This window comes from Homo sapiens, chromosome 11, assembly GCF_000001405.40.
Source record: "Homo sapiens chromosome 11, GRCh38.p14 Primary Assembly".
NCBI classification, from domain to species: Eukaryota; Metazoa; Chordata; class Mammalia; order Primates; family Hominidae; genus Homo; species Homo sapiens.
Window position 1 is genome coordinate 23098146 of NC_000011.10, and position 26130 is coordinate 23124275.

The 26130-nt window shown below is 36.6% G+C and overlaps 2 long non-coding RNA genes across 7 annotated transcripts in view; both read left to right on the top strand.

The window, feature by feature from the left end:
* The window catches only part of LOC124902646 (uncharacterized), a 187361-nt gene extending 177309 nt beyond the window's left edge, over positions 1 to 10052 (top strand). The window contains exon 2 of the long non-coding RNA XR_007062623.1: positions 5210 to 10052. This is a non-coding gene — a long non-coding RNA (uncharacterized LOC124902646). The remainder of the gene's footprint in view (positions 1 to 5209) is intronic.
* Positions 1 to 26130, top strand: part of LINC02718 (long intergenic non-protein coding RNA 2718) — a 376384-nt gene that overhangs the window by 268732 nt on the left and 81522 nt on the right. The gene's annotated exons all lie outside the window — the stretch shown is intronic.

Sequence of the window (26130 nt, forward strand, 5' to 3'; positions counted from 1 at the left end):
AGCTAGTGCATGTTCAGTGAAAAGGGAAGTAGACCTATATGTGTCTGGAGAAATAGTCAGTGATCAGCTCATTCACTGAAGATTAAAACACGTACACACACAAAAGGAAAGTTAATTATCAGTTTTAAATGGAGTCAGGTAAGAATCACACCTCAATTTCTGATTTCCACACAATTGCATTTTTCCATTAATTCTTGGGTTTAATTTCAGTTCTTGTTTTTAAAAATAGTTTTTCAGGTGTTCTTTCAAAAGTGTGAGAAAAATGAGGAATCTGATCTGAAAGACTTCTACTATTTCTATCCAGTAGCTATAAGGAATTTGCATATCAGATTTGTGGATTTAGAAGTTTCAGTGGAAAGCCTTCACCAATATTAATTAATAAATTTAAAAAATGGCATTTTATCATCTAACAAGAACACTCGGTAAAAAATCAAATATATTCCACACAAAGACAGATTGCTGGATCTGAAATTGAAATTTTATTGCAACTTTAGATAATGAATATATTATTTTATGACCTATCAACTGTTAAGCCATAGTTATAATTCCTTCATACAGAACGCTCATTTTGTCCCTCCAAAATTGCATCATTTTTTTGGACAAATTTCAGAAGAACTCTAATTAATAAGTGGAGCTATTTTCTTGTTGGCCTTTATAAAATTCCCTTAAAAGTCAGCCCTCCTGGGAATAAAATAGTTTATAGTTAGCAATTCAAATCAGCCATTATACACTATTTCTGTTTTTTTTTTTTAAACTCTTGCAAGTAGACGTGGTCAGGCAGAAAAACAATTAGAGATGTGCTGAAATATTTATAATTTTTTGCACCAGCTATTTTTTGAAGATTTTTGGGGGTTCATGTCTCAATAGTATTTTAAAACAATCTATAAAGATAAAAATTTCGGTATTATACATGTTGTAAATGACAGTTGAAATAACAGAGATGAAAGATAACTACTGCCTTGATAAGATGGCACAACTCTGACATATAACTTCATTTTTATTCATGCACTATTCATTCAACCCGTTTCTATTGAATTTTTATTGAAGTTTTACTCTCAGCCAGATATGGCATTAATATTGGACATAAAAACTGAAATAAGCCAAGATCTCTCTTTTCTAGGACTTCATCATCCTAGTGGAAAAGGCAGAAATTTAAAGAAATGCAATGACAAGGACAAGTACTCTAACAGATGTGTCTAAAGACTGCTATGGGCTAAAAGAGAAGAAAGACTGATGAAGTACTCGCAAGAATGTGCTTTTTAAACTACATCTTGACACACTTGGAATGCAGAGCTGAATCTGCATACCATTCACTCTGCCTCTGTTTCTGCACATTCATCTTTTAGTGTAGACTTGCCAGATTCCCCCATTTCCTGCTGTCCTTCACCTCCATGCTTGTGCACACATAGTTTCCTCTGCCTAGAGTGCCTTTTCCAAGCTCCACTTTTCCTCACAGTGTCTCTTTTTTTTGGGGTGGGGGGACAGAGGCTCTGTTGCCAGGTTGGAGTGTAGTGGTGCTAACTCGGCTCAGTGCAAACTCTGCCTCCTGGGTTCAAGTGATTCTCCTGCCTCAGCCTCCCGACAAGCTGGGACTACAGGCGTGTGCCACCACACCCAGCTAATTTTTGTATTTTTAGTAGAGACAGGGTTTCACCATGTTGGCCAGGTGGTCTTGATCTGTTGACCTCGTGATCCACCTGCCTCGGCCTCCCAAAGTGCTGGGATTACAGGCGTGAGCCACCGCACCTGGTCATGCCTCTTATATTATTAGGTTGGTGCAAAAGTAATTGCTGTTTTTTTGCCATTAACAGTAATGGCGAAGATGGCAATTACTTTTGCACCAACCTAATATGTTAAATTTTGGCTCAAAGTTGGTTTCCTCTGAACTTTCCATTATTCTTTTTCTTCTCATATATCATTTCATCTTATTTGTTATATTAATGTTTTCCACAAAGTTATGATTATTTATTTGACTATTTTCCCTAGTGCTACCCTTGAATATAGGAAATATCTAATCTCCTTTGTATCATTTATAGCACAGTAATTAAGACATAGTTGGTGTTTAATAAATGTTCACAGAATGAAGTTGAGTTGAGGAAATGTTTCCAAGGCAGATGAGATACGGCATAGGGAGTTCCAGTCAAGGGAGGAATGTATGCACAGGAAAAGGAATGCAAGACAGCACAGCAGTTTCTAGCAATGGCAATCAATCCAATGTGGATGCAGAAAGTTTAGAACAAGGCTGTAGAAGGACAGAGATTTAAGAAAGAAACTGAAACTCTAGCTTGCAGAGGGCCTGGTTTACTTTGCCAAGGGGTTTGGGCCACCTCCTGCAGAAGAATTGCAGAGAAGATTTGGAAGAACTTAAGCAGAAAAATGAGGTGATCCTATTTGTGTTTTGGAGAGATAGCCAGTTGGTGGTATGAATGATGAACTTCATATATGAAGCTCTGGAATTTAAACAACCAAATCGGAGTGAAATTTTTATTTAAAAAAGAGCAAATTAATTAGAAAGATGCTTTAAAGTTGGGAATCGTAGGCTCTGAAGAAAATAGGGACTTAGACATTATTTTTAATGTACTTTTTCTAATGCAGTATGATGGCATGTTGTACTGTACAAAGCAATGTTAACTGTGAATTTTGGTCAAATATCGTGCAAACCGTTGTTTGATAGTGCTGGAGCAGCACAGTTCAAAAGGAAATACTGTAGTAATTGTCCTCCACCACTAGCCAACCATTCTCCAACACATGGATCCTATCTTTTTGGAGGAAGAGGTGAGGAAAATTCAGTCTGACGCTAATGCTTTCCAGTGCACTCAGCTGTCTTTGATTACAAATTTGGGGCACAATTAAGATGCCATTACTATGTGTAAGGTTTTGCCTTGAAATAGTTTCAATAGACCTTTTTTGTATGTAAGCAAACTCAACAAATTATTTTTAGTCAAAAAATTTATTTCTTGGGAAAAAAGCCATCCTTTTATTTTTCTAGTTCTAGTAACTAGCACACAGTTATCACTTAATAGATGCTTAAGTGAATGAATGACTGAAAGGAAGATAGAAAGTTGAATGAAGAGTGAAGAAAGAATGGCATGTAACTGCTTCATGATTCCAGCAGAAACATGTAAAGAAGAACCGTTTACTTGATTCTCAGCAATAAATAATTTTCCCAAATGTTTGCATGTAAGAGGTTTTACAGTACTGTTTTTTTTAATTTGCATGCAACATTTGTTTTTGTCAATTAAAAAAATAAAATAAGCATACTCCAAAACATATAATAACTTTCAAATTTTAATGGCTACACTATTCCCAAACTAATATTTAATATATTTGTCACTTAAAGTATTTATTGCATTACAATCTAAATGTTCTTTTCCTTTTACCATCAACTTAACATATGTTTATTGAGGAACTAGTGTGTCCCCACATGCTGCCACAATGACGAGACATAGTCACTATTTCCAAATAGTTTATGGCCTTGAGAGGAGGAAAAAAAAACATGCACATAAACAACTTCAATACCAGTTATGTAGTGTATTAGTCTACAAGGGCTGCCATAACAAAACAGGCTGGGTGGCTTAAACAACATAAATCTACTTTCTCACAGTTCTAGAGGCTACAAGTATAAGAGCAAAGTGTGGGCAGGTTCAGTTTCTTATGAGGCATCTCACCTCGTCTTGCAGATTGCCACCTTCTTGCTGAGTCCTCACATGGTTGAACCCATGCATTATACATTAGTCTCTTATCTCTGTGTATATCCAAAAGTCTTCTTATTATAAGGACAACAGTCATACTGAATTCGGTCTCACCCAAAATATCTCATTTTTACTTAGTTATATATTTAAATAACTGTTTCCAAATATGATTACATTCTGATGTACTAGAGGTTAGGACTTCAATATATGAATTCTGGGGAAACACAGTTTATCCTGCAACAAGTAGAATATAAGATATGGTCCATTTAAAGGGAGCAAGTGTCTCATATTCTCAAGTTAAACTTGAAAGTAGAGATTTTTTTTAAAGAAAAAATTATATATACAATTCTGTGCTGATGAAGATATTTATATAATAATATAAAATTTTTACAGCTCTATTACTGTGTTGGCTGCCTGCTTTAATATGTCATAATTATTTCCACAACCCCAATGGATATGTCATGAACAAAAAGTTTAGGTTTTTCTACAGAATAGGAGAAAATTTTTGCGATCTATTCATCTGACAAAGGTCTAATATTCAGAATTGACAATACTTAAAAAAATTTACAGGAAAAAAACCCTTTTAAAAGTGGGCAAAGGACATGAACAGACACTTCTCAAAGAAGACATTTATGCAGCCAACAAACATGAAATAAAGCTCAACATCACTTATCATTAGAAAAATGCAAATTAAAACCACAATGAGATATCATCTAACACTGGTCAGATGGGCCATTATTATAAAGTCAAAAAATGAAAGATGTTTGTGAGGCTGTGGAGAAATAGGAATGCTTTTACACTGTTGGTGAGAATGTAAATTCATTCAACCATTGTGGAAGACAATGTTGTGATTCCTCAAAGACCTAGAAGCAGAAATACCATTTGACCCAGCAATCTCCATACTGGGTATATGCCCAAAGAAATATAAATCATTCTATTATAAAGATATACATACGTGTATGTTCACTGAAGCACTGTTCACAATAGCAAAGACATGGAATCAATCCAAATGTCCATCAACGATAGACTGGATAAAGAAAATGTGGTACATATACACCATGGAATACTATGCAGTCATAAAAAGGAATGAGATCATATCTTTTGCAGGGACATGGATGGATCTGGAAGCCATTATCCTTAGCAAACTAACGCAGGAACAAAACCAAACACCATGTGTCTCACTTGTAAGCAGGAGCTGAACAGGTAGAACACATGGACACAGGGAGAGGAACAACACACAATAGTGTCTGTCACTAGTTTGGAGGAAGGGAGAGCATCAGGATAAGTAGCTAATGCACATGAGGCTTAATACCTAAGAGATGGGTTGACAGGTGTAGCAAACCACCATGGCACATGTTTACCTATGTAACAAACCTACACATCCTGCACATGTATCCCGGAACTTAAATTAAATTTTAAAACAAAGTTTCTGTTTTTAGAAAGGTATCAATGCCTGCAGCAGATACATGGCATGAACAATACATTAGATGACTATTTTAATGCAAATTTATTTGCAGGAAGAATGAGGACAATAGACCAATGGATACAGGATGGTGCCTGTGAAGTACATCTACAGAGAAATCCTCTCTAGCAAGGCTCATCCAGGACACCTACCTGCATTTTTCCATCAAGGTTGAAACAAACACTGCTTGTTCGCAAAGGAGTAGACATTTACTCCAAAAATATATTTGCCTTCCTTGCCTGAAATGCTTCTGCCAAACCCACCATCTGTGAACTTGAGGAATGCCTTACTCATGATCATGTTATTACATACTCCTGACCAAGGAATTCATTTTACCAAACATAAAGTGCAGAGATACTCATGAAATGTATTGCTCTTATCATGATCTTCATCACTCTAAAGCAACTGGCCTGAAACAAAGGTGAAATGAGCTTTTGAAGCGTCAACTGAGTGACTAAATTTTGTGAAGCTAGGATAACATTCTCCACAATGTGGCATATGGCCTCCATCAGCAACCAATCTATGACCCTGTTTCTCTCATAGTCGAGATTCATAAATCCAGAAAACAAAGGATAAACAGGAGTGACTCTTCTTACTGTTACTCCTAAAGATATAGTTACATGCTATTACTGCCCATTCTCAACACCTTTGGACTCTGCTGGCCTAGAAGTCTTAGTTTTCAAGGGATAAATGTTTCTACAAAGGTCTATAGCAATAGTTTCATTAAACCCAAAGCCAAGACTCTTAGCTGGCGTCTTTGGGCTCCTCATATTCAACAGACAAAAAGAGCACTGGTGTTTGGCCTGAGGTGATGGATTCTGATTATCTAGAATAAATCGGGCTGCTAACACACAATGGGAATAAAGAAAAGTATGTCCGGAAAGCAGGTGGTCCTCTGGGTTACCTCTTAATATTCCCATTCCCAGTGAGTAAAGCCACTGGAAAATGAAAACAATCTAATACATGGGGGACTCTCATGGCTTAGACCTGTGGCCCCCAACCTTTTTGGCACCAGGGACCAGATTTGTGGAAGATACTGTTTCAGTGGACTTATGGGGTGGGAGATGGTTTTGGGATGAAACTGTTCCACCTCATATCATCAGGCATTAGAGTGTCACAAGGAGTATGCAACCTGGATCCCTCACATGTGCAGTTCACAATAGGGTTTGCAATCCTATGAGAATCTAATGCCGCCACCGATCTGACAGGAGGCAAAGCTCAAGCGGTAGTGCTTGCCTGCCACTCACCTCGTGCTGTGTGTCCCAGTTCCTAACAGGCCATGGACCAGGGGTTGAGGACCCCGGCCTACACCAAATTATAACAAGCTTAAGACAAAGAGTAGTAGAAAAAGGTAATTATAAATACTATGCATGACCATATGACCAGTGGCAGAAATGAGCACTGTAATACTTATGAATGTTTTCCTTATTTTAATATGCAAATACTTGTGTGTATATTAATTTTTTTTTCTCTTTTCCTTTTACATTTGCCTAACATCTAACATAAAAAGTATTAAAAGTAATTAATCTTGTATGATAGCGTTTAATTTGTAAGATATCAAAGAAGGAATGTGACTCAGGTAGAAGGGTAATAAAAGTCACTCAAGAGGCCTGGCGTGGTGGCTCACACCTGTAATCCCACCACTTTGGTCAAGGCTGGTGAGGCGGGTGGATCACGAGGTCAGGAGACAGAAACCATCCTGGCTAACACGGTGAAACCCCGTCTCTACTAAAAATACAAAAAAGCTGGGCGTCATGGCAGGCGCCTGTAGTCCCAGCTACTCGGGAGACTGAGGCAGGAGAATGGTGTGAACCCAGGAGGCATAGCTTGCAGGGAGCCAAGATCGCGCCACTGCACTCCAGCCTGGGCCACAAAGCAAGACTCCGTCTCAAAAAAAAAAAGTCTAGAATGAATAAGTAGATTTTGTGTCTTATTTGAGGAGAAAGTTGTACAAAGGACAATTTCATTATGTTATAGGGAAGCATGACTTTGCTATTGTCTTAAGGTAGAAGTTATGTTAAGTGCAGTTAACAGAGTTGTACATAAATATGACATTGACAGGGAGAATTATAGTGGGATTGTATTGTGCCAGTTTAACAAAGATAGAAGTACATTTCCCAGAAATCCCTTCCCTTTATCATTCTGGTTTAGTGTGAACCAGATGTTTTTGGTAAATATTAGAGGCTAGTAGTGAAATAACAGTTGTCTTTTTACATTCAAGAGGCCAAATGAGGTCACCAGGCATGAGGAAGTTTTTGTGTTCTTTTGTAAAAACCTGGAAATCTGAAGTTAAATATGCGTATCAGATTATTATTCTCATACACTGTACAATTCAAAGAAATGATATTTCATCAATTTTAAGAAAACAAAATACTGTGAATTTTGTCATTATTAAACCAAATATGATGCCTGTACAGCTGTAGAAAACACATTTTAGTGGGAACTGACAAAAGCCAATTACTTCATTTCATTAAAAAACCATATACCTTTTCTTACCATTTAAAAAAATGCAAGAATGATCATTTTATAAATATTCTATGAATCATCAATCCTACCATTTTAAAGTAGTTTGTAATTTAGAAAGTTAGTTTAGTGTTTAAGTATTTCTTAAATTTTAAGCCCTATTTCCATTATCATTATTAGTTTTTGCATCCTACTTTGGAAAAACTAATATGTTTTAAAGAATTCTATCCTTACACTGGCCATTCAAACAACAAAATTTTTTCAACATTTTGATTTATTTTTTCCTCTCTAAGTATGTCACCCTGGATAAAAATGCTATTAATGTCCAGATTAAGGCATAAAAGTATGGACTTGGCACCTGATAGCAGTTATCTTTTCCAGTTCAAAATTATATTCCCTTCTAAATTTGCATTATAGTGTGAACAAATGGACAGTCAGCCAATAAATGGTTTGTTATTGTATTTATAATCTTAGAAAGCACAATGATCCCATAAATTTAAATTTGACATTCTTGGGCAACAGCTGAAATCTGTTCACTTGTCAATAATGTTATCATTATATGGAAGCTATACAATTCAGATAAGACAAAGATGGTATAACACAGAGAAAAGCCTGGAAGACAATTATAGTGACACACTTTTTAAAATCAGAAAACAAAAAATAAGTTGTTTGATGAAACAGTCAAATAAGACATTGTGACTTATTGTCACAATATTTAAAAACCATCTTTAAATATCAAATGAAATTTTACTTTGGGGAACATGCCTTTATATCTTTTTAAAATTATATTTTGCCACTTGCTTTAGCAGGTAACAATACAAGTTGTAATTATACATAGCAAATTAAAAATTTGAGAAAATAAGACTTGAACTTAAGATTCTAATCTGTGTTAGTACATTCATTTATTGAAAATTATGTTCGATTTCTCTTTCAGTTGGCAAAAGTATGTGGTGAAGCGATGAGAATACAGTCATCAAGTGATTCTTTATTAGAGCTATATAACATCTTAAAAGACATTAAAATAATCTTCAAATTGACAACCATTCTGCAATTAATTACACTTGGAAATATATCACGTTTAGATCCAAGTGCAAAGTATTCTGTGCCATGTATTATGTATTGACTCAATTACATCACATACTAAATGCAATCATTGGATTTATTTTTCTAAAATTATCCTTTAGAAAATGGGTCCCCAAACCCCAGGCCATGGACTAGTACCTGTTCATGGCCTGTTAGGAACTGGGCTGCACAGCAGGAAGTGAGGGGGAGGCAAGCAAACATTACCACCTGAGCTCTGCCTCCTGTCAGACCAGTAGCAGCATTATTGTGAACTCCGCATGCGAGGGATCAGTTGCATGCTTCTTATGGGAATCTAATTAATGCCTCATGATCTGAGGTGGAATAGTTTCATCCTGAAACCAGCCTCTACCATAATCTGTGGAAAAAATATCTTTCATGAAACCAGTCTCTGGTGCCAAAATGGTTGGGAACTGCTGCTTTAGAATACATACAGACTACAGAATTTAGAAGAATGCCTAGAATGTTTAGGAAATGAATAACAATGTAATTTGTAGCCCCTTATAGTTGAAATTATTTTAAAATAAATTATCCTTATTAGTTTCTTGAACTAGTAACTGTGTATGATAGTTTCCTCACATGCATATCAAAAAATCTCAACCATGTGTTGTACATGAAAGACACTGCAGTTAAGAGAGATGGATTCAATAGTATTATTTTTACTAAATTTATAAGCCCTTCCATGGCACTTTGATTTCCAGTACCTCTTAGTAGAAGGGATGTACTTTCCGTTCCTTTGAAACCAGGCTTGACACAGGAGTTTCTTTGGTAAAGGGAATGTAAGCATCCATCACTCAATGGAATGTCCAACAGAAGCTTTATGAACTATCTCATAGTTTTACAAAGATTCTTCTTTTCCATTTGCCATAATAACAAGTTATAGATAAAGATTAGTCCATTAGCCTGGATCTACAAAAGAAGAGGATATGTAAAACAAAATTGAGCAGGGACAAGCAAAGCCAAAGCTATGTCCTGAGTAAAGGTAATGAGAAAGAAATAGCTTTTTTTGTTGTTGTTGTATGACACAGTTACTAAATCATTTGCTTCCAAACATTCCTATTTTATTTATATTTTTATTAAACTCCATAGTAGATTTTATCTATTTTCATCTGTTTATATAATTATATATTTTCCCCTTTTTAATGTATTGATTGAGTGGGTTATGCTGCTACAATTCCTTAATTATAACAATATTCTTGGAATAAATACTACTTAGTTATAGTGTGCTATTCTTTTGAGATTTAATCATTTTAAAATGATTAAAAGCTGGATTTACATGATTGTATTTTCACTGGGATTCTATATTATAGTAATAAGCTAAATTAGGTTTGTGGTATTAAATATGGTGAAAATAATTTTGTAATATTGTATAGCCTGAATAATTGTAATGTTATAGTTATTAGCTTTCCAAAGGTTGCTGGGAACTTCACTTTACAACTTTCTGTACTAAATTCCTTTTTAAGATGGCAGCCTGAGAAGAGGCTGCAATCCTCTTCGTCTTCTCCATATTTGTAACAATTATGAGAAAAAATAGAAAACTAAAAGATAGGCAGAAAGAGAACACTCCCACAATTCTAATACCATGAAAGAGTGATAAATATCTAAAAGATGAGCAGTATGAGATAATACAGGAAAATCACCAAATATAGGGCAAAGGCAAACAGGCAAAAACAGCACCAAGACTGTTTTTTACATGGAGATGGTGGGTAGTAGGAGCTGATAGAACCAGAGAGACCGAAACAGGAGTAGCTAAGAAAGTGCATTTCCAGTGTTTGTTTCCAAACAGGAGCAATGGGTGAGTGAACTCAGGCAGAAGAGAGTGCAGTGTTGTTGATGGCAGAAGTTGGGTGGTATAAGGAGGACCCATATATAAAAGTATAGCACTGAACATACGATCAAGCTACTACCTTCTTACTTTCTCTGAAGCTAGGCCAGGATTCAAGACATATTTTACTCACTCTCTCTAAGCAGTCTGTATAAACAGAAACAGAAAATAGTCTAAATGGAAACATAACAGCAAAGAATATGGAAGAATCTAAACATCAGCAAAGTGTTAACTGATGGGGCAGATTTAGACTTTCAAATAAGAATATTAATCATAGTAGCTAACATTGATTATCTTTGTGGATAGAACCTTTTTAAGTCTTTGTATTCTACCCTTGATTGGGTTATATAAAGGCATAAGCCACCATTATAATACAAGAACTGGAGAACTGGAGAAGTGGAGAAAAAAAGGGAGGTATCTCAGAAATAAAAACTGTTGTTCAAATTAAAAATAAAAGGACAGAATGGACTGTGAGGAAATGTAGATTTGGTCTTAGAAGATCTTGTTAAAGAGTGAAACCAGAAGGCACCAAAGATAGAGAAGGAGGTTGGAGATGGAAGTTTGTGAACCAATGAGGATGCATCCAATAGTTCCAACATCAAACTAGGAGGAGATTCAGAGGAGCATATGTGACATATAAATGGTCAATACAATGAGTAATCTAGAAGTGAAGAATGAATTTTTTTAATGAAAATAATCCACTCTTCCTTAGGGAAGATATACTAAAAGACAAACTAGGAAATTTAGATACAGTGGCAAAGAGTAATTTTACCAAAAATAAAAACAATCTAGAAAATTTAGGTGTAGTGGCAAACACTAACTGTACCAAAAATAAAAACAAAATCAAAGAATTTTCTAGGAAAACATAAAAATAGGGTACTGGAGGAAGACGGCAATGAGACGACATCTTCAGGCAGAAGTAATGCAAACAGGTAGGGAAAATATTTATAGTCTTAAATTCATTTGTTAATAAAAAAAGATTAAAAAATCAGTAAACTATGCTGTCAAGTTAGGAAATAAACCTATTCGAGGTATAAGAAGGGATTAATAGAGAAAAAGTAGAAACTAATGTAATAAAAATGAAAGAATAGAGTTAACAAAAGAAGAAACCTTAACAATAATAAAATAATAATAAATAAACTTTCTGTTATGACAAAAAAGAGATATGGAACAAATAAACAATGTTAGAAATAAAAGTATGGAATAAGTACAGATACCAAGAAGACTAATTGTAAGAAAATAATGTGGACAACTTACCCTATTTTGTTTCTGGGAAATACACGACAAAAAAAAAATAGCTCTAGAATCAAATAAGTGGAATAAAAGTGGAACCAAATTGTAATGTCCTGAGACACTGAAATATTAGATGAAGACCTGCCAGCCCAGAACACTTTCCTTCCGATAATCCAGATTTCAAATTAAGCATTATTTCCTTTGAGACTTTCTTGACCATCCTAAGGAAATAAGTTGCCCAGTCTTAGTTCATTACCTACTTAATTTTCTCATAGCTTTTATCAGTGCTTGGTAATTTGTTACGTTGTTATGTTATGTTTTGACCTGATAGTAGCTACTAAGTTGTCTAATTAACTGACTGATTTATTAATTGCCTTTTATTTTCTGATTTCTTTATTATTCTTTTTGTTGTTTTCCTTTCTCACTTCTTACCATTTGTTTGATTAATTTTTTTACTTTGCTCTTATTTTTCCTACTGAATTCCAAGTTAATCAGATATGACATTTCACCCAGTCACAATTTTAAGGGATGAATTTTTAACAAACTTTCAAGAAACAGAGCTTCCATCTTACACTTACTCTTTCAGCATTGGAAAAAGAAGAGATGAGTTTCCCTTCTCATCTGGCATGATGCTTTCTTTATCTTGATTGAATGGAGCTCAGAATCATCCCATAATGTAAAGCTCAGTAAAGCTCAGTAAAATCAGTAAAATTTCAAATGGGCATCACATGAGGTTGTTATAAATAGATGAATCCCACTCTAAATAACAGCATCTGCACATACACAAAAAGGAGTAAGTTCTGGTGAATGCCAGCGTGGAACACAAGATCAGATAGTTGTGAATGTACAGAAAAACTGTAAAATGTTCAAAGAAAAGTATTGTTAGAGACCAGAAGCCACCGTAAGATGCAGCCATAGGCAGCAGGAAGGCAAGTCATCCAGAGCTGGATTGGTGAGGTATATTTAAAGTTCAGGGCTGAAAGGACACCTAAGTGGTGGACAAGACCACCACGGTTGAAACAACAACAGAACACTGACCTAGGGTGGGAAATATTGAAATGGCATCAGTTTTCTGCCTTGAGACTCTGAAACTCAGGCCGTTTGCCCTGAGACTGCCACGTGGTTCAAGGTGTTATTTTATTAATCATTAATTAATGAATTTTCTGAAAGCACAAGTCAATTAGGTCAGTACTGAAAAAGAATTCTATAAATCATGAATGCTGCAATCCTTCAAAGCCCTTTTCTTATATAGCCAGGGCAGTCACTATACCACTTAAAAATGAAATTTTTGTCATCAGATTATTTATTCACATTCTTTTCCCTTTTCTAAAGTTAGTGATTTTCATAGCCAACTTGATTCCTAGGCATAGTTCAATATATCTAGCTTCTTAGACCAAAGGCACATTTTTAATATACAGAAGAATGGAGTGGCTCTCAGTCTTGTTGTAGACATAAGCATACTCTAAGTAGGTGTTTTTTGCATTTAATTTTGGATTTTTGCATAAAAGAAGGACGATATGCTGTAACTTTGAGATAGGTAACTTAGTATGCTTTCTTGACTTTGAATAAGTGGCAGCTGTGAAAATGAGCTGTCTAACTGCTGGGAGAGTAATTGACTTAGGGTCCCAGAGGCTGTACTCTGAATCCACCAACACCCAGTTCATGTCAAGATCATACTTCCAACAGGCTGCTCCCAGGCAGTGGCTGAGTGTAGGCAGGAGACTGCAGCAGGACTGTTTCTGGGGGGTTATTTTCACTGAAGGACTCAGTGATATACTTGATGAAATTTCTTAGAACCGCACTGCAGGGTAAGATGTTTCTACACAACCTCCCTTCCCTCCCTCTCTCTCCCACATGGATCAAATATGCATTGATTGCTTCCTGTGGCTCCCTTCTCATTTACACTCACAGGCAGTGCCCTAATAAATCTCTTGCACGTGTAATGATGTCCTGGTATCTGCCTCTCAGAGGACCCAGAATAACAACAGATTCTAAAATTGCTTTAAAAATATCTTTCAACCTTGTCTTTGGTAATATTTCTGGAAAAGTTTCATCTTGCTTTTTCTTCTTGTAATAAATTGTGAGGTAAAATCACCTTAGTGTTTGAAAACCTCAAAAATAAAACTTGGTACAATAATTCCTTTGATGTACTACACATATCAGTATGTTCTGCTTTTCTGGGCTAGAGCTGAACTAGTACTTCTTTTTACTGATTGGGGAAACCAATATCAGAAACCAACAAACACCTTAAAAAGTGTATGTAAGAACTGTAATTCTTTTTTAAAGTTGTGATGGATCCATTTCAATATCACATGGCTTCCCATATATACGGAGAAAACATACATATTGGAAACCTTGGCATGTACATATTTCTAAAAAATATAAAAATATTCCCTGAGAACTGCGTGAGTTCATTTAGATCACTGAATTAAGGGCTGAGTTTAAAACATTGTTTCAGATGTTAGAAATACACATCACTCCCTAAAAGCATCTAGGTGCCCAGCGTGTTTGTTCCTGCTTTGCAGATATTTACCGTACTTTAACAGAGTTGAGGGTACTTTGCTTTAGTTGGGTCCCTCAGGAGAAACCACTTGAACAAAAATCAGAGTGTTTTCGGCTTCTCAGCTTGACTCTGCCACAGCAGCATGTATGGTTTTTCACTAGCTGTTGATTCTCAATGCCTCCTTTTGGGCTTCTCCATTTCCCCTGCTTCATTTACACAGAAGGAGTAGAAGAGAAAGGACTCTAATAGCAAATGCCTGAGAAATTCTTGAGCGTTCTGTGTTCCCAGAGGAGCATGGTCCAGCTTTTACTCCAGTTTCCTCACATTTCTCTTTGAAAATTCTACAAAACACAACAAAAGATGTTTTAAATATTTCTACAGGACTAATACAAATAATAAAACAATCTATACCTTCAGGCAGAGAAAACCCACAAATTCACCCTATTCCCAATTAAAAAACAAAAAAAGTGCCTAAGTGGGAGGTAGGGGTAGGAGATCCTTCACAGCCCCAGCATTAGAGTGGAAGTCACAACTGTGGAGCAGATCAGTAGCGGATCAGAAGGACTGCCGTACCGAGAAGTGAAAGAAATACAGACACAGCATGAGCAGTGACAGAACTCAGAAACCCAAGCAAATAGAATGCACTGCAAGAGGGGAGAGCACCATTGTAAGGGACATGGATGTGCTTTGGTCAAGAATTAGGCCTAGGCAGACATCCAGGCCTGTGTGACTCAGCGGGGTTAGGGTGCAGGTGCATACTCCACTTGTTATATAACCTGTTTGTGTAAGCTCAAACTTGGCTCTGAGCCACTATTGTCTGCAGAAGGTGTAACTGCCCTGCTGACACTACGGGCTGTTAGGTATGGCTTGACATGGTGCTGGCACCCAGAGAAAGAGAGAGAGAGAGAACCAGAGCTGTCTGTCTTGCAGAAGGATATATAGGGGAGCCACAGCATGGCTCGTGCTGGTGCCCAGAAAGGGAAATAATTAAGCTGCTGACCCTGAAGGCAAGGGAGAGCCAAATGTGCAGCTGCAGGTGTGGGGTGGCAGGAGCCACAGAGCTGCAGCAGACAGCCCAGATAAAGGTGGACAGTGTTAGAGGGCCAGTGTGAGTAAGCCGCTGATGAGAAACGGCCCCCCTGGAGCGTTCTTTCAGCTATCCATCCACTCCCCTTGGACCTCAGCTAGGGCTAGACCCTAACCCTGGGTGTGGCATTTGGCATAATCGTGGACCTGGACCTAACAACCACGAGTGGAAAACTGCTATGGCGAAGTTTGAGAATGAAATGATCAGGACAGGAGAACTGGGAAAGCAAAAGGAAATGACAGGGAAATTTGGACTAAAGCACTAACTTTAATTAAATAAACTGCCGGAGACATAACAGAAGAGGGAGCCCTTGAGCTGAGAAACCCAGACAGCTTCTGTAAACTCTTCCTCTCCTGTGCTGGTAGCTGTCACTTCTCACCTGCCAGGTGAGATAGCTGGTCCAGGAGAAATTTACTAATAAGGAATGGAAGTAGAGGCAGAGTGGAGAGGGCAGGGATGAAAACAAAGAAATGAAACATCTTCGTATGCCTGTCTATATCATTTTGACCCAAAGATCCCATAAGTGTATTATGCATAAAACCAACATTTCTTGAAATTAAATACAAAGGGAAACAAAGTAAACCCAATCATACATCAATTTGTAAAGTAACTACACAAGGAATGGGACTTCACAGAATAGACTTCTTACTGTACATCCTTACTTAACAGCATTAAAAGCACAAAAACAAAACAACTAAAAAGAAGTATCAATTTTATGTAGTAATTAATAGTAGTATGATTCATAATTATTTTATTTTATTTTATTTATTTATTTTTTTGTGATAGGGTCTCACTCTGTTGTTGCCCAGGCTGGAGTGCAGTGGCGAGAACACGACTCACTGTAGCCTCGACCTTCCTAGCTCAGGTGATTATCCAACCTCAGCCTCCTGAGTAGCTGGTAATACAGGTGCACACCACCATGCACAAATGATTTTTGTATTTTTTGTAGAGACAGCGTTTTTTCACGTTAATCAGGCTAGTCTCAAGCTCCTGGGCTCAAGTGATCCATCCACTTCAGCCTCCCAAATTTCTGGGATTATAGGTATGAGCTACCATGCTGGCCATAAATGTTATGTTGAGACTATGTCCTTCATATATTGAGGGTTAACACAAGATCTTAAGGTCTGTGGAAGAAAAACAAAAGGGCACTTTATTTTCTAAAAAATAACAGTCTACAGATCAGGGAGATGTGTAGCCTCCAATGTAAAGGGAAAGCATGTTCTGGAGAAAAAGAGCAGGTCTGACTTAAATAAAGGAAGTTCATGACCCAACCCTCAAACAGGTCAGTTTATGCAAATGAAGAAATCAGGCCAAGTGCAGTGGCTGATGTCAGGTATCTCAGCACTTTAGGAGGCTGAGGCAGGAGAATTGCTTAAGGTCAGGAGTTTGAGAGCAGCCTGAGCAACATAGCAAGATCCCTCTCTGCAAAAAATAACAAAAATTAGCAGGGCATGTTAGTGTGCACCTGTGGTCCCAGCTACCCTGGAGGCTGAAGTGGGAGAATCATTGAGCTCAAGAGTTAGAGGTTATAGTGAGCTATGATCATGCCACTGCATTCCAGTCTGGAGGACAGAGTATATGCCCAGTCTGTTTAAAGAAAAAAATCAAATTTGGTCCTAATTGGGTAGTTTCCAAGCCCAAACTAGAAGTCTCTGTTGGATGACCCTTTTAGGCTACTGCTAGGAGAAGTTTTCCAACTACAGTGTCTCTATTTTAGCTCAGAAGTACAAACAGTATGTTAGGTAAGAATCGTATATTTTAATGCAGTTCATCTAAAAGCTATACATGTTCACCTTGTGCCCTTCTGCCAGATCTAGTCATTTCGAGCTATTCAACTGTGAATAGGATTGGGAAAAGTAATAGTCTGTGCTTCCAGGAAAAAGAGAAGAAAAGTATTGATGATTACTAATGTCTACTACACTGATATCAAAGTTTCCTATTAATAAAAATGTAGGTATAAGCATTTAATTGGGCACTCTTTGATGTATTTGGTAGGTTACATGATAAAATATGGGGGTGTGGTCCAGGCATAGATATATATTCTAAAGCTATCCAGGTGAGTATAATGTATAGCTATGTTTAAGAACCACAGAGAGTAAAGCCTGTTACAGTTTCTAACAAAGATAATTCAATATGCCCAAATTAAATCTGCAGACAAGTAATTTCATATGCTATTATTTAAAGTAATAAATTTAGAAAACTAATAATAAAACAAAAAAAGCAGAAATGTTAAATAATAATAATAATAAAATAATTTTATGTGTAGCAAGTATTTATGAATGAAAGAGCCAAATAAGCTTAGAAAGAGAGGAGAAACAAAAAAAAAACTATTTTAGACTAACAACACTCATTTTTTTTGTTTTCAAGGATCTTTTAAAATTCTTACAAAGGATTAAGAGTTTTGGTAAGCCTTCATTTATTTATATGGGTTATTTCTATCTATATTTACTACATTAGAAATAAAAACTGTTAAATATTAAAATGTGTATTTGCTAATTCATTTGAAAAGAATAGTAAACCAAGTACCTATTAACATAAGCAACATATTTTTATGAAAATTACTAAAATTTCCAAAACCAAAGAAAACATTAATGAGAAGAGTGACAATGTTTTACAGTTTTGCAAATACTTTCAGTGTCTGATTTTATAGGCTGGATTCTCATACCTTTTCCTGCATCCATCTTTTCAATATTACATACCCTTTCCATAGCTTCTGAAAAATGCCACCATACACTTGAAAGACTATGAGAGCAGAAAAGGACAAATAATATATTAGCATTACTTTGAAAATGCTTTTGGCATTATGAGTCTGCAGAAAATATTGCAGAAACCCCTAGGAGTCTCCAGACGATCCACTGAGAAATATCTGTGAGTTGTTGTACACATATTTCAGCTTCTGAGTTCAAATGATTATATCCTGCACCTAGCTGTGATAATGCTAGGAAATGGTAATATCAATATTATGTTCTTTATATTCTCTGACAAATCTCTGGAGAACACATAGTCTCTCTTACAGGTTATGTACAGTTAGCAGTAAGTAATATTGTTAGACCACTCCAAAGGCCATTTTCACTGGCAATATTTACTAGACAAAATGGCCACTCCAGCCTGTGTATCATGGCTAATTAAGATGACTGAGAGCACTGGCTGTTCTGTCTTGATTAGACCCTGAGGAAGATATAGTCTTTGAGGGATTTTATTATCCCACAATGTAAGAAAGCTCTCCAGAGATTTTACCTCTGTCTCCCAGGAAAGAAACAAACAAGCATTATGAGGCTGGGCAGGACATCCAAGAGTCTGGGCTTAGATGCTTATCAGGGGAACCAGCCCCCAATATTTCAAGGTAGGTTCTTTCTATTTTCCCTAAGTGTCAGCCGGTCTGAGAAGTAAAGAGAAAGAGTACAAAGAGAGGAATTTTACAGCTGGGCCTCTGGGGGCGACATCACATATTGGTAGGTCTGTGATGTCCCCTGAGCCACAAAATCAGCAAGTTTTTATTAGGGATTTCAAAAGGGGAGGGGGTGTATGAACAGGGAGTAGGTCACAAAGATCACATGCTTCAAAGGGCAAAGCAAGATCACAAGGCAAGGGCAAAATTACCATTACTGATGAGGGTCTATGTTCCTCTGTGCACATATTGTCTTAATAAACATCTTAACAGAAAATAGAGTTCGAGAGCAGAGAACTGGTCTCACCTCAAATTTTCCAGGGTGGGATCTTTTCCCCGCCCTAATAAGCCTGAGGGTACTGCAGGAGACCAGGGTGTATTTCAGTTGTTATCTCAACTGCGTAAGATAGACACTCCCAGAGCGGCCGTTTATAGACCTCCCTCCAGGAATGCAATTCTTTTCCTAGGGTCTTAATATTTAATATTCCTTGCTAGGAGAAGAATTTAGCAATATCTCTCCTACTTGCACATCTGTTTATAGACTCTCTGCAAGAAGAAAAATATAGCACTATTCTGCCCGACCCTGCAGGCAGTCAGACCTTATGGTTGTCTTCCCTTGTTCCCTAAGATTGCTGTTATTCTGTTCGTTTTCAAGGTGCACTGATTTCATATTGTTCAAATACACGTGTTTTACAGTCAATTTGTACAACAGTGGTCCTGAGGTGATGCACATTCTCAGCTTACAAAGATAACAGGATTAAGAGATTAAAGTAAGACAGGCTTAAGAAATTATAAGGGTATTATTAGGGAAGTGATAATGTCCATATTAAAATGAAATCTTCACAATTTATGTTCAAAGATTGCAGTAAAGACATGCGTAAGAAATTATAAAAGTATTAATTTTGAGAACTGATAAATGCCCATGAAATCTTCACAATTTATGTTCCTCTGCTGCAGCTCCAGCCGGTCCCTCTGTTCGGGATCTCTGATTTCCCAGGACAGATGCTCAAGAGCGAGGGAAGAATTGCTCAGTGGCTGGAAGTGGGGACACTCAAAGATGGGCCTGGGCAGTCCAGATACAAGTTCACAAAACTGAGGAGTCAGGATTAGTGCAATACAGTGTCAGAGCTGCAGAGACCCAGAACAAAATCCTCATCAGCAGGGAATAGATGAATAATCTTAGAGCCATGCAATGGAATGTTAAAAACCAGCAAAATCAATGGCCTATAGTATAGGAAACACTGTGGATAAATCTCAGTAACATAATATTGAGTGAAAAAAGCAAATCTTAGATTACTTCATGCAGTGCAATACCCAATAATAAAACACTAAGCCAGAAAAATTGTTTCGGATTAAATATATAAGTAACAAAACTGATGAATAACAAAGCAAGGGAGTGATAAACACATGCAGTTACTTTGTAGGTAAGGCAGAGGGATGAGAAGAGGAAGAAAAGGTCGATTTAAATAATTGGGAATGATGTAGTATCAAGTTGTGTTTATTTATTAAACAAAATAAGACACAGTCATGCAAGAACCAAAAAATCAAGGATAACAATCCAATTCTATGCACCTGAAGTTCAAAAGATTAAGTTCTCTCTCATATACGAAGTGCTTATTGAATAATTTGTTTCCAAATATTAAAAAATAAATATTATTGTTCTAAGTATTAATTCTTGTGATATTCTTACAGCCCAATAAAATGTTAATATGCAAACAAATTTTTAAATTGAAAGGTAAGACTAAGGGAATTTTCAAAACCTTAGATCTCTATTGAAACAAAACATGAGAAAGAAATGTCATTTCTACTTGCCTTTTATTTCCTGTTTCAGTGAAAAATGACTTCATAGAAATAAACAATATATATTTTAAAGTATGTTTTTCATTTCTGTTTGAATTAAATTAGTATTACTTTTCCTCTAAAGAGTAACTATAGGTTAGTTTGTTATTTTTCTTTTTTCCCTCATGTTGGCTACATTTCCAACCTCTAAGTTAATACATGTGTATTTTATATATATAATATATATGTATATATTATATATGTATATACATGCATATAATATATATACATATATAATATAATATATACATATATATGGAGAGAGAGATGTATGTGTGTGTGTGTGTGTGTATATATATATAGTTAGTAGAAATTTTGTACTTCTCATAATATAATATTCAGTTAAAAATAACTATTTTCTGGTTAGGCAACTGATCAAATGATTGACCATTTAGAATAATAAACAACAGAATTTTTCAATTCAGGAAAGAAGTTGTTGTCCAGGTGAAAGAGTTGTTACAAAGAACAGACGTGAGTTAAGATGGAAATTAAATATTTACATCAGGACTGGGTGTGGTGGCTCACACTTGTAATCCCAGTGCTTTGGGAGGCCTAAGTGGGAGAATCACTTGAGCCCTGAGTTTGACGCTGCAGTGAGCCATGTTTGTGCCAATGCACTCTAGCCTTGGTGTCAGAGCAAGACTCTGTCTTTAAAAAACATAAACATCAAATAAATATCTATATCTACTTTTGGTCTCTCTCAATAAACTAACTAAGATGGCAGCTAAGTAATTTTTAAGACATAAACCTATAAAGAACAGGAAGAAAGAGAGGAGAAAATAGAAGCAAAATTTTGGAAGCTGAAAAGAAGAATGGTAATGAGATAACAAACTTGAGAAAAATAAAGCCCAGTCAGCAGATGGGAAAACTGAATATCATACACATTGGTTCCATAGCATGTCCAAGAACGTTAGAAGCATGTGACCTCAAGTTCATTTAGAGGTAGGGATAATAGGAAAGGAGTACTAGTTGAAAGCCTATTTTAGCCTCAAACTCCTCTTTCATGTGGGCAGGGAGGAAATTAACTGCTCTTTCTCCACCCTAGCAGAAATTCTGTAGGTTCACTATCTGGGCAGGGTTAAATATGAGAATTTTGAACCTGAAGACATCAGACACAGTTAAGAATAGGCACATTCCTGTACTCAAAGCTTTTCATCTCATTTTGTTTCTAACCACTGAAAAGGCTATATAATCAATGACTGTTAGATACCTGAAAAGTGCCTATGATTTTTTTTTTTTTTTTTTTTTTTTTTTTTTTTTTGAGACGGAGTCTTGCTCTGTCGCCCAGGCTGGAGTGCAGTGGCGTGATCTCGGCTCACTGCAAGCTCCGCCTCCCGGGTTCACACCATTCTCCTGCCTCAGCCTCCTGAGTAGCTGGGACTACAGGTGCCCACCACCACACCCGGCTAATTTTTTGTATTTTTAATAGAGACGGGGTTTCATCATGTTAGCCAGGATGGTCTCAATCTCCTCGTGATGCACCCACCTCGGCCTCCCAAAGTGCTGGATTACAGGCGTGAGCCACCGCGCCCAGCCTATGATTTTTAAAAAGATAAAAATCAAGACAAACACACAAAACACTTGAAAGAAAGAGAGACTACCTGGTTCTAAGAAACTTTCAGAAAATTATAATAAATATTCTCAGTGAGCCAGGATAAATTTATGAGAAATGAACATTCTGAATTTCTAAGTGAAAAGGATCTACTATGAAAATAAAGTTGGCTGGGCATGGTGGCTCACACCTGTAATCCTAGCACTTTGGGAGGCCGAGGCTGGTGGATTACCTGAGGTCAGGAGTTCAAGGCCAGCCTGGCCAACAGGGTAAAACCCTGTCTCTACTAAAAATATAAAAATTAGCCGGGCATGGTGGTGTGTGCCTGTAATTTCAGCTACCCGGGAGGGTGAGGCAGGAGAATCACTGGAACCCTGGAGGTGGAGGCTGCAGTGAGCCGAGATTGTGTCACTGGCACTCCAGCCTGGGTGACAGAGAAAGACTTCATCTCTAAAAAAAAAAAGATAGAAAGAAAAAAAAAAAGAAAATAAACTTAAATTTTCACAATCTGAAAACCAGAGGAAAATCCTAGATGCTTAAAGAGATGAAAAAATGATTTGTTGGGGATAGGCAACACACTAAAGATGAGAAGTCAGATTGGCTTCAAACTTCTCATCTCAAGCAATGGAAAGCAAAAAAAAATGTGCTGTGTGTTCAAAATTCCGAAATTCCCATTTAATGTAATTTCCAAAATAGAATCTGATATATGAAGAAACCATCAATGATGTATTGGATTGAAATAGGATCAACAGGCTGTATTTTACAAATTGTATCTGCCCTGCTCCCTCTTTCTGGAAAATATTTCACTAAAGTGAAGTAGAAAGCAAAAGAAAAAAAAAAAAAAAAAGAGGAAGGGAAGACATGGGATTTAGGAAACAAGGGCTCCAGTGCCAAAGAATGGTAAAGAAAATACCTGGCACAAGAAAGAAGAAATTCTTCTTCATGGAGAACCACCTGGCCTTCAGATGTCTCTGCCAGAAACATGTCTTAAATCTAGGTGGTGATCCATGTCCTGAAGTCTTAGGAATGATGAAATAGATACAATGCCTGTGTCTTTAGAGGTGATTTAAACAGTGGCAAAGCATTTGCAGCTGAAGTATAGTTCAGAGGAAAATGAACCAGGGAACAAATAAACAAAAAATCCAAGGCGAAGGAAACACTCATGAGAAAAGTAATCATAGTTTACTACATGACTATTTGTGAGCACTGTTTACATATAACTAAGGACTGAATACCACCCCTCCAGCCCCTCCAAATGCATATATTGAAGCTCTAACCTCCAGTATGACTGTATTTGGAGATGGAGCCTTTAGGAGAGAATTAAGTTTAAATAAGACCATAAGGGTGGTGCTCTGATTTAGTTTGGATATTTGTCACCCCAAACTCTCATGTTGAAATGTGATCCCCAATGTTGGAGGTGGGGCCTAGTGAAAGGTTTTTGGGTCATGGGGGTGGATCCCTCAGGAATGGCTTTGTGCTCTCTCTGTGGTAATGAGTTAGCTCTCACTCTATTAATTCATACAAAAGTTGGATGCTTAAAAGAGGTGGCACCCGTCCCTTCATTCTCTCTTGCTCCCCCTCTCACCATAAGACACGTCTGCTCCCTGTATTCCTTCTGCCATGATTGAAAGCTTCCTGAGGTTCTCAGCAGAAGCAGATGCTGACACTGTGCTTCTTGTGCAGCCTGCAGAACAGTGAGCCAAATAAACCTCTTTTCTTTATGAATTACCCAGCCTCTGATATTCCTTTATAGCAACACAAAACAGATTAACACAGACTCTAATCTAATAAGGATAGTGCCCTTATAAAGAGAGGACAAGACACCAGACTCACTCGCTCTCTGTCGCTCTTTCTTAAGGCAGTCTGAGCCAACACACATATTCAAAAATAATCTAAAAGTTGCACATTTATTTAACTGAGATTAGGATATAAAAGATGGGAAAGAAAGTGCTTTTTGTAGCAATGGAAACAGGAAAAATAGCAAAATAGTTACTTAATTATAGTAATAAATCAATAGCCATTACTTATTGGTGTAAAATCAAGAAGTAACAATACAATGTAATTATTTAGAGACATGAAATTAAATTGTAAACCAAAATTCAGAGAAGAAAGCTGAAAATGTTGCATCGGGAGAGATGGAAATAAGTGAGAAAATGGGAATGGAGAGAGGTACAGGACTTTAAGTTTTAAAATAAAACGTGTTATTTATTTAAATACTTCTTAAAATTATGTACGTTATATTTTAAAGATAATAAAAATAATGAAATTTGTGTGTACTCATGAGAGAGAGAGAGAAATCAGTTTGTCCTCTCAAAAGAAAACTGTGTCTGAATTTCAGTTGCTTATTTTGTAGGTGTGTCTAAAATGGATCTTAGAAAGTAAATAGAAACACATTTTTCCTGTAATTTAATTTATGAAAATATGAAATTCATAAAGCTGGGTCTAGAATCGCTGTGACCTGCCTTCTTAAAGTCTAAAATCTAGTGGGAAAAGTGAATCTGCTTCTCAATGGACTCCACTTGGCCTCTCATCCCTGTGGCAAGAGGATGGAAAGTACTAATTCCCTCAAATGAGCCTTCATTTTAGAGCTGTGTATGGCATCATTCTCACTAGAAACTAATCACTAAGAGTGGGGAAGAAATATAGAAATGTGTTCCTGAAAGAAAACCATGTGAATAGATATTCACCCAGTGAGTGGCCAAAACACACACACACACACACACACACACACACACACACACACAATGTCAATTAGAAAGGCTAAACCCTGTAGGTTCACAATCAAATGTCAGTTGGCTCTTTCTCACAACATCTTTCACTGTAATAATGTTATCACTCGACATGAAGGCCTAGCACTACCAAAGTGTCTTCAGCTTATTTCTGCTTTTGACTCTCCATATTTAAACATTTGCTAAGTTCAATAAAGTCTACTGCTTCAGTGACCAATTTATTTCAGCATGATTATAGTTCTGTATCTCATTGCTGCTTGCTTAGATTATTGAAGTGCCTCATCACTGGTTTGAGTTTTCTGGGTTTTTTTTTCTTTCACCCCACTCTCACAATCACACAGTTCTAATCATTTTCTATTTTTTCTTAAGTATTTCAAATATTTTTCCAAAACTATAATAGCTTAAAACTAAAAACAAGCTTATTATTTATATTTAATAAACTTTAGTTCTTTAACAGGATGTAATATTATACAACTCTTAGAATTATAATTCTCAAGAATGTAGGGGTTATATGCATATTATGGTGTAATATTAAAGAAATAAAAAAGCAGATTGTGACAACACTAGTTATGCATGGTGCACCATGAGCACCTGAATGAAGAAAGAAATTAATTCACAAACACCTTGGTGTGGTATTAGAATTAAGTGTTTTCTTTATATTTTTCTTTAACATCCGTGATAAGACATCTGTGGTAAAGACTTCCAGTGCTCAAACATTTTGATGGTCTGTCTGAGCCTATGGACATTTGAGAGGTTTGTGCTTCTCAGTCCTTTTGCAGCCAGGTGAGATCATTTGACTGGTTTTGTCCAATGGCCTGTGATAGAAGCGACATAGGACATTTTCATGCTGAAGCATTTGTTTCCTGGGGTGAACATTTCCAGCTCTCTTTCTTCCCTTTGCACAGTGATCAGAGAGTAATTTTCATGTGGAGACAGGGGAGCCACAGGATGTAAGCATCTTGGGTCACATAGTTACTTTACAGAGGACGATTGCCCTGCTGAGTCATCCAGGCCACTGTGCACTAGACATGCGTGATAAATAAACCTTTGTTGTGTTAACATAATGATTTATGTGTTTATTTGTTAAAGCAAGATAAGTTAGCTTATCCTGATTAGCACATCTTTTAAATGATAAAAGTAATAAAGCAAAAATATTCAATAATCAAATGAAGAAAAATTCTTTTACATGCTTAAATAAATAGAAATCACAATTATAATTGTCCTGAGGTTTTAAATCCATTTAGAAATAAAGTAGATTAATTTAAAAATATATTTTA